Genomic DNA, 8,322 nt, shown 5'->3' with positions numbered 1-8,322 from the left:
GGGGGTTGGTGGCTGGGCTGGTTTACATGCACAAGTGGTCATGCAGGATGATGCCATAGAACAGCTTAGAGGAGTGTGCATTAGAGCTTGGAATAAATCACTTCATGTGGAGAACAATACCCTTCCTTTAGTGCTATAAAACAGGGACCAAGAGAACCATATGTGGATTTTATAGCTTGGTTACAGGAGTCTCTTAAAAAGATGATTGCAGATTTGGCTGCTTAGGATATAGTGTTGCAGTTATTGGTTTTGACAATGCTAATCCTTATTGCCAGGCTGCTCTGCGACCTATCAGAGGGAAAGCACATTTAGTTGATTATAACAAGGCCTGTGATGATATCAGAGATAATCTACATAAAGCTACTTTGTTGGCACAGGCGATGGCAGGACTGAGAGTGGATAAACGAAATACTCTATTTCCTGGAGCTTGTTTTAACTGTGGGAAGCATGGTCATACTAAAAAGAATGTAAAAAAAAAAAATCACCTAGTCAGGCCACCAGATAGGGGAAAAAACAAAACTGCTGATCCTGAAATATGTCCAAAATGTAAAAAAGGAAAACTTTGGGCTAATCAGTGTCACTCTAAGTTTGATAAAGAAGGGAACCCGATTTTGGAAAACTCCCTGAGAGGCCCATCCCAGGCCCTGTTCTAAACCAGGGCATTTCCATCTCAGGCCATTCCCTCACCCCCATACATTATCTTTCCCCACCACAGCCCATAGTGCTGCAGTAGATCTATGCTGCACAAAAGCTGTGAGCCTTCTGCCTGGGGCACCCCCGCAAAAGGTCCCAACAGGAGTCTGTGGACCGTTGCGAGCAGGGACAATGGGATTACTTTTAGGAAGGTCTAGTTTAAGTTTAAAAGGGGTACAAATACACACTGGAGTCATTGATTCAGATTACAATGAGGAAATTCAAATTGTGATATTTAGTTCTGTTCCCTGGAAAGCACAGCCAGGAGTGCGCATAGCACAGCTCCTGAGTGTGCCGTATGTGGGAATGGGAAAAAGTGAAATTAAATGAACTGGAGGATTTGGAAGCACAAATAAAAAAGGCAAGGCAGCTTATTGGGTAAATCAAATTACTGATAAACATCCTATCTGTGAAATAACTATCCATGGAAAGAACTTTAAAGGTTTGGTAGATACTATTTTTTTTTTTTTTTGGTAGGAGTGGACATTTCAATTATTTCTCTACAGCACTGGCCATCCATGTGGCCAATTCAGCCCACTCAATTTAACACAGTGGAAACTGCTAAAGCTCCAGAAGTGTATCAGAGTAGCTATACTTTGCATTGTGAAGGGCCCAATGGACAACCTGGGACTGTTCAACCAATTGCAACTTCTGTACCTATAAATTTATGGGGGAGATATTTATTATGACAATGGGGAGCACAAGTTCTAATTCCATAACAATTATACAGCCCTCAAAGTCAACATATGATGCACAAAATGGGGCATGTCCCTGGTATAGGAGTAGAAAAAAAATTGCAAGGTTTGAAAGAACTGCTTCAAACGGAAAGACAAAGTTCCTGCCAAAGATTAGGATACCATTTTTGATGGTGGCCATAGTTAAGCCTCCAGAACCTATACCTTTAAAATGGTTAACAGATAAGCCAATTTGGATAGAATAATGGCTGCTAAGCAAAGGGAAACTGGATGCTTTAGAGAAATTAGTTACTGAACAATTAGAAAATGGGCACATAGCTCCAACATTTTCCCCTTGGAATTCTCCAGTTTTCATAATTAAGAAAAAATCAGGTAAATGGAAAATGTTAACTGACTTAAGAGCCATCAATTCAGTTATACAACCTATGGAAATATAACAGCCAGGATTCCCTTCTCTACTATAATTCCAAAAAATTGGCCTTTAATAGTCACAGATTTAAAAGACTGTTTCTTTACTACCCTTTTAGCTGAGCAAGACTGTGAACGGTTTGCATTTACAATTCCTGCAGTAAACAACCTGCAGCCTGCTAAGCGTTTTCATTGTTTCACAGATGGGTCTAGTAATGGTAAAGGTTCTTATTCTGGATCAAAAGCTAAAGTTTTCCAGACACCCTATACTTCAGCTCAAAAGGCGGAGCTTGTAGCTGTAATTGAGGTGTTGACTGCTTTTGATATGCCTGTTAATGTGATTTCTGATTCTTCATACATGGGTCATTCCACACAGTTAATTGAAAATGCTCAGTTAAGATTTCATACAGATGAACAACTGATAATAAAAACAAAAAATGGGGAGAAACAGGGATTACGGGATAGCCCATACACAATTGAATCTTGCATTATTAACTTTCAAATTTTTGAGCCTGCCCAAAGGCCAGATGTTACCAGCAGCTGAACAGCATCTACAGAAACCAGCTGCAAAGACAGAAGCAGACCAACTGGTTTGGTGGAGAGATCCAATAACAAAAAGTTGGGAAATAGGTAAAATTATAACTTGGCATAGAGGTTATGCTTGTGTTTCTCCAGGACTGAATCAACAACTGATTTAGATACCATCAAGACACCTGAAATTTTATCATGAGCCAGATGCTGAGGAAGAGAGAAAAAGCACAATCATCATTGAAATTAGAGCTTCTGGCTGGGCGCGGTGGCTCACGCCTGTAATCCCAGCACTCTGGAAGGCCGAGGTGGGCGGATCACAAGGTCAGGAGATCGAGACCATCCTGGCTAACACGGCAAAACCCCGTCTCTACTAAAAATACAAAAAATTAGCTGGGTGAGGTGGCGGGCGCCTATAGTCCCAGCTACTCAGGAGGCTGAGGCAGGAGAATGGCATGAATCCAGGAGGCAAAACTTCAGGTTTTGCCAAGAATGACACTGTAAATGTAACAAAGCTTCTGTGCTTGTTAGTGAACACCAAATCAGCTACTCTCCTGTATTCGGAGATCAGGATGAAATGAAAAGAACAAGCAGGCCGGGCACGGTGGCTCATGCCTGTAATGTCAACACTTTGGGAGGCTTAGGTGTGCGGATCACCTGAGGTTGGGAGTTCGAGACCAGCCTGACCAACATGGAGAAACCCCGTCTCTACTAAAAATGCAAAATGAGCTGGGCGTGGTGGCACAAGCCTGTAATCCCAGCTTGGGAGGCTGAGGCAGGATAAGTGCTTAAACCTGAGATGCGGAGGTTGCGGTGAGGCAATATTGCACCATTGCACTCCAGCCTGGGCAACAAGAGTGAAACTCCATCTCAAAAAAATAAAAAAAGACCCCCAACCTTGTCTAGACTGTGGGGTTTCAGTTTCACCCCAGGGGGGTCCTGGTTGGGTTAGAACCCTGAATCTGGTTTGAGTTCGTATCCTAAAGAATAAAGGGAATAAAGGCTGTAGCCACTAAGCTACTCAATCTGGTCCGGTTCTGGCTTTTGTGTGTCTGTCTGTATTTTTGGTCTAAATATTTGGCCCAACAGAGGTTAAAGGCTTTGATGTTCTCAGCAAAAGCCTTGTGAGATCTCTAGTTTATCTGTGTGCTCAACTGGAACAAAGAGTCTCCATAAACTAGAAAAACCTAAAGAAAATGGCACGCGTGAAAAAATGAGAGCCAACTCCTGTTTGTTGTTCTGTCCACCTCCCTCTCTCACTCCTCCTTCTGCCTTTGCTGTGGTCCCATGGTGTTTCTGTCTTTCTGGGGACCTGAGATTCAGTGTAGGAGTGAAGTCCATGATTTTAAAGCCTTCATGTCTCTGCTTTTTAACTCTGCCTGCTTTGCTGAGCTCTTATAATGAGAAATAAACCATTCAGAACAGAAACAACAGGGCATCAGAAAACCAACTTCAGGCAGCGCTCCGGCAAGTACCTCCCTAGAGGGGAAGGGTCTACTAAAGGAGATTTAATCTTGAAAAGGCCAAAATGAGAAGCTCTAACCTTAAGCTTGCTAGGTTTTCTGGGACTCGAGCTGGCTATATATTATGGACCATTCTAGCCACACACATACACACACACACACACACATACACACACACATTTTTTTGAGACAGAGTCTTGCTCTGTTGCCCATGCTGGAGTGCAGTGGTGTGATCTTGGCTCACTGCAACCTCCACTTCCCAGGTTCGAGCAATTCTCCTGTCTCAGCCTCCTGAGTAGCTGCGATTACAGGTGTGCGCCACCATACCCGGCTAATTTTTGTGGTTTTAGTAGAGATGAAGTTTCACCATGTTGGCCAGGCTGGTCTCAAACTCCTGATCTCAAGTGATCCACCCGTCTTGGCCTCCCAAACTGCTGGGATTACAGGCATGAGCCGCTGTGCCCAGCCTATACATATATATATACTTTTTTTTTCCTTTTTCTTTTTGACACAGAGTCTTGCTCTGTTGCCCAGGATGGAGTATGGTGGTACAATCGCGGCTCACTGCAACCTCCGCCTCCCAGGTTTGAGCAATTATCCTTCCTCAGCCTCCTGAATAGCTGGGACTACAGGTGGACACTACCACACCCAGTTAATTTTTGTATATTCAGTAGAGATGGGGTTTTGTCACATTGGCCAGGCTGGTCTCAAACTCCTGGCCTCAAGTGATCCACCTGCCTCAGCCTCCGATAGTGTTGGGATTACACTCATGAGCCACTGCACCTGACCTCTAGTGCACACTTTAAACCTGATGGCCAAATTACATGAAAGAAAATTCAGAACTCAAATAGTTACTATTTTTAAAAACCCTAAAGTGAAAAAGTCTCAGTTCTTTTGCCTATCTTTTTTTTTTCCCTGCCTACTTTGAATCTGCTGATTTGTCTACTGGTGTTGAGATAAGACTTACTGTCTGTGGTGTTACTAATTCAAGGTCACTTGGCTGAAGAAAAACAAAAGAATGAAACAATTCTTTATTTTTTTCTCTTTTTGAGACAAGGTCTCACTCTAAGGTCTCACTCTGTTCCCCAGACTGGAGTGCAGTAGTGGGATCATAGCTCACTGTTATCTCAACCTCCCAGGCTCAAGCAATCCTCCTGCCTCATCCTCTCTAGTAGCTGGGACAATAGGCACGCACCACCATGCCTGGCAATTTTTTATCTTATTCTTAGTAGAGATTGGGTCTCACTATGTTGCCCAGGCTGGTCTCAAACTCCTGAGCTCAAGTGATCCTCTTGCCTCAGCCTCTCAAAGTGCTGGGATACAGGCATGAACCACTGTGCCCAGACAAAAGAGTTCTTTTATAAATACAAATAATTTAAAAAGTATTGATAAAATAAAAATAGAAAATAGAAATCTCTTCAGACTTGTCAGCATACATTTTTGACTGTGTTTTATATTTACATTTGCTAGATATTTTAAGGTGCTAGGGTTTGGCATGAAGGTTATAAAGCTATAAACACAGGAAAAAAGAATATTTGTTTATGTGATTTTTTAAATACATAAGACCAATTTAATATGGTTTGTTGAACAAAAATAATGGAATTTTCTGAGTTATTGGTAAAATACCCATGTATTTAACTTTGAAGTCCTCACTTACGTGAACACCTGATATTCACAGGCTATAACATGGTTAACAAGAAAATAACCTAGAAATGATGACTAGCTTTGTCTAATACCTCAGTTCTCACAAATACTCTAGATAAACTGTCAAAAATAAGTAAATGTAAATGGATAAATGTCTATACAAGACATCTTAATGTATTTTTGAAATTTTTTTGAGACAGTGTCTCTGTCTGTCACCCATGCTGAAGTGCAGTGGCATGATCACAACTCACTGCAACCTTGACCTTCTGCACTCAAGGGATCCTCCCACCTCAGCCTCCCATGTAGCTGTTAATTACAGGCATACACCACCATGGTCAGCTAACTTTTATTTTTTTTGTAGAGTCAGCATCTCACTAGTTTTCTCAGGCTGGTTTCATGATACTCCTGCCTAGGCCTCCTAAAGTGTTGGGATTACAGGTGTGAGCCACCATGCCCAGCCTATTTTTGAAATTTTAGTTATGTTAAATTAAATAATAGATACTCATTAAATATCTGGGTTATTTCCAATTTAAAACTTATGTTTTAGCCCAGGCACTGTGGCTCACGTCTGTAATCCCTGCACTTTGGGAGGCCAAGGCGGGTGGCTCACCCGAGGTCAGGAGCTCAAGACCAGCCTGATCAACATGGTGAAACCTCATCTCTACTAAAAAATACAAAAAATTAGCCAGGTGTGGTGGTGGGTTCCTGTAATCCCAGCTACTCGGGAGGCTGAGGCAGGAGAATTACTTGAACCTGGGGGGCGGAGATTGCAGTGAGCTGAGATCACACCACTGCACTCCAGCCTGGGCAACAAGAGCGAAAATCCATCTTAAAAAATATGTTTTAGGAACACATAATTCTAAATTATGAAATTATTCTCATATGTAAGATACTGCTATATGACAATTCCAGATTTCTTGCTTCCTAGGTTTTTTATTAAAATAAGGGTTACTAAGTGTTAATATCTTGCTAGATATGTGTGATTAAGACTACTAGATACAAGAGAAACAATTCTGTATGCAAAATGTATACCGGTTTTTGTTTCAGAGAAAGTAAATTCACTTAGAGATTTTTAAGGATTATTTTAAATTGAAGGAATAAAAAAGATAGATAAAACTACATGTGTATAAAAAGTTGGGAAAGATGAAAAAATTATACAAGGTTATTAAAAGTTTATGTAAATCTTACATCGAGGCCAAAACTGATTGAGATCAGATAGATTGTTTATAAAGTTTATTTAAATTAGCTATAATATTAAAAACAGTGATAAAAAACTAAAAATTTGGGTTAAAACAACAAGGTTTTCTTAATGTATTTATTTGCTCATAATAAGAGGTAATAAATATTGACTTTTAATCCTGAAATCTGTTACTATAAAAACTTTTCAGATTTGTATATCAGAAGTTCAACTTTTCCTGTACTTTCATGTTACACATGACTCACAGGTCACATCACTGTCTCCTGTTCCTTCTTGAGAAGGAATAAAAGGCTTGGGTTTCCTGCTTGGCTGGGATGATAACTCCTTCAGCTTTTTCATCAGGTCTAATTTTATACTCTTGGCTTTTAAATATGTCTTAATTACTTCATGTAACCAGGAAACTTTCTTGCTATCATTGTGAGCTATGGATCCCCACTGCTCTATGCTCTGGTTTTCCTGTTGACATTCCTTTGTAATATTATGCTCACTCATGACCCTGGACACACTCTTTCTATGTCTAATTAAATTCAAGTCTCCTTGTCATCGGAATTGACTTCCAAGTGATTTAAATTAGTTTCCCGTAAGAAGACACAGTTATGCCACAGGAGTTTTACCCTTTAAATGACTGGCCTGTAATAAAGATTTTAGGTTTTATCAAGATAATCCATGTGTTGCCTTTATTTTTTTTTAATTACTTGGGAAAACTGAGGGTTTTCAGTTATCACATCCATGTAACCTTCTACGTTGCTTTTGATGTCTTTTGGTTGTCATGCTAATTAAATGAATGACTGTTATTTAAAAATGACATGTGGCTGTGTGCAGCGGCTCATGTCTGTAATTCTGGCCCTTTGGGAAGCCAAGGTGGGTGGATCACTTGAGCCCAGGAGTTCAAGTCCAGCCTGGGCAAAATGGCAAAACCGCATCTCTACTGAAAATACAAAAGCTAGCTATGTGTCGTAACAAGTGCTCATAGTCCTGGCTACTTGGGATACTAAGGTGGAGGATCACCTGAGCCTGGGAGGTTGAGGCTGCAGTGAGCCATGATTTCACCACTGCACTCCAGCCTGGGCAACAGGGTGAGACCCTGTCTCAAAAAAATAATAAAATAAAAAACAATAAACTGTCATTCTGTTTTGGTCAAATGTTTTCAATTTTTTGACATCTTTGCTAAATCTTATTTGATAACATTGTATGGGAAGCATTGCCAAAAGATAAGTAACACTAAATCTTCTTTTTTTTTTCTCTGAGACAGAATCTTGCTTTGTCACCCAGGCTGGAGTGCAGTGGCGTGATCTAGGTCCATTGCAACCTCTGCCCCAAGGTTCAAGCGATTCTCCTGCCTCAACCTCCCAAGTAGCTGAGACTACAGACACATGCCACCACGCCCGGCTAATTTTGTATTTTTAGTAGAAACAAGATTTCTCCATGTTGGCCAGGCTGGTGTCAAACTCCTGACCTCTGATGATCTGTCCAACTTGGCCTCCCAAAGTGTTGGGATTACAGACATGAGCCACTGTGCCTGGCCTAAATCTTCTTTTGGTTACATTTATAGGTACATTATTAATATAAATATTTTAAATGTTATATAAATTATAAAAATCTAATATGGTATCAGTCATAATTTTGATGATGTTAAATATTCTCTAAAGTTGTATATGTATAGATATATTATTAATATGAATATTCTAAAGAT

General features: G+C 40.5%; 1 annotated feature.

Moving 5' to 3' along the window:
* Positions 2,830–3,012: a silencer, noted in NCBI's record as "fragment chr21:9988843-9989025 (GRCh37/hg19 assembly coordinates)". NCBI's record gives its function as "represses an EF-1alpha promoter that drives an FKBP-Casp9 reporter gene in an ReSE screen in K562 erythroleukemia cells {active_cell/tissue: K562}" and the evidence as "EXISTENCE:reporter gene assay evidence [ECO:0000049][PMID:32094911]".

The sequence above is a fragment of the Homo sapiens genome, chromosome 21 (assembly GCF_000001405.40).
Source record: "Homo sapiens chromosome 21, GRCh38.p14 Primary Assembly".
NCBI classification, from domain to species: domain Eukaryota; kingdom Metazoa; phylum Chordata; class Mammalia; order Primates; family Hominidae; genus Homo; species Homo sapiens.
The sequence above is the reverse complement of the archived record's forward strand: the minus strand, read 5'-3'. Positions and strand labels throughout refer to the sequence as shown.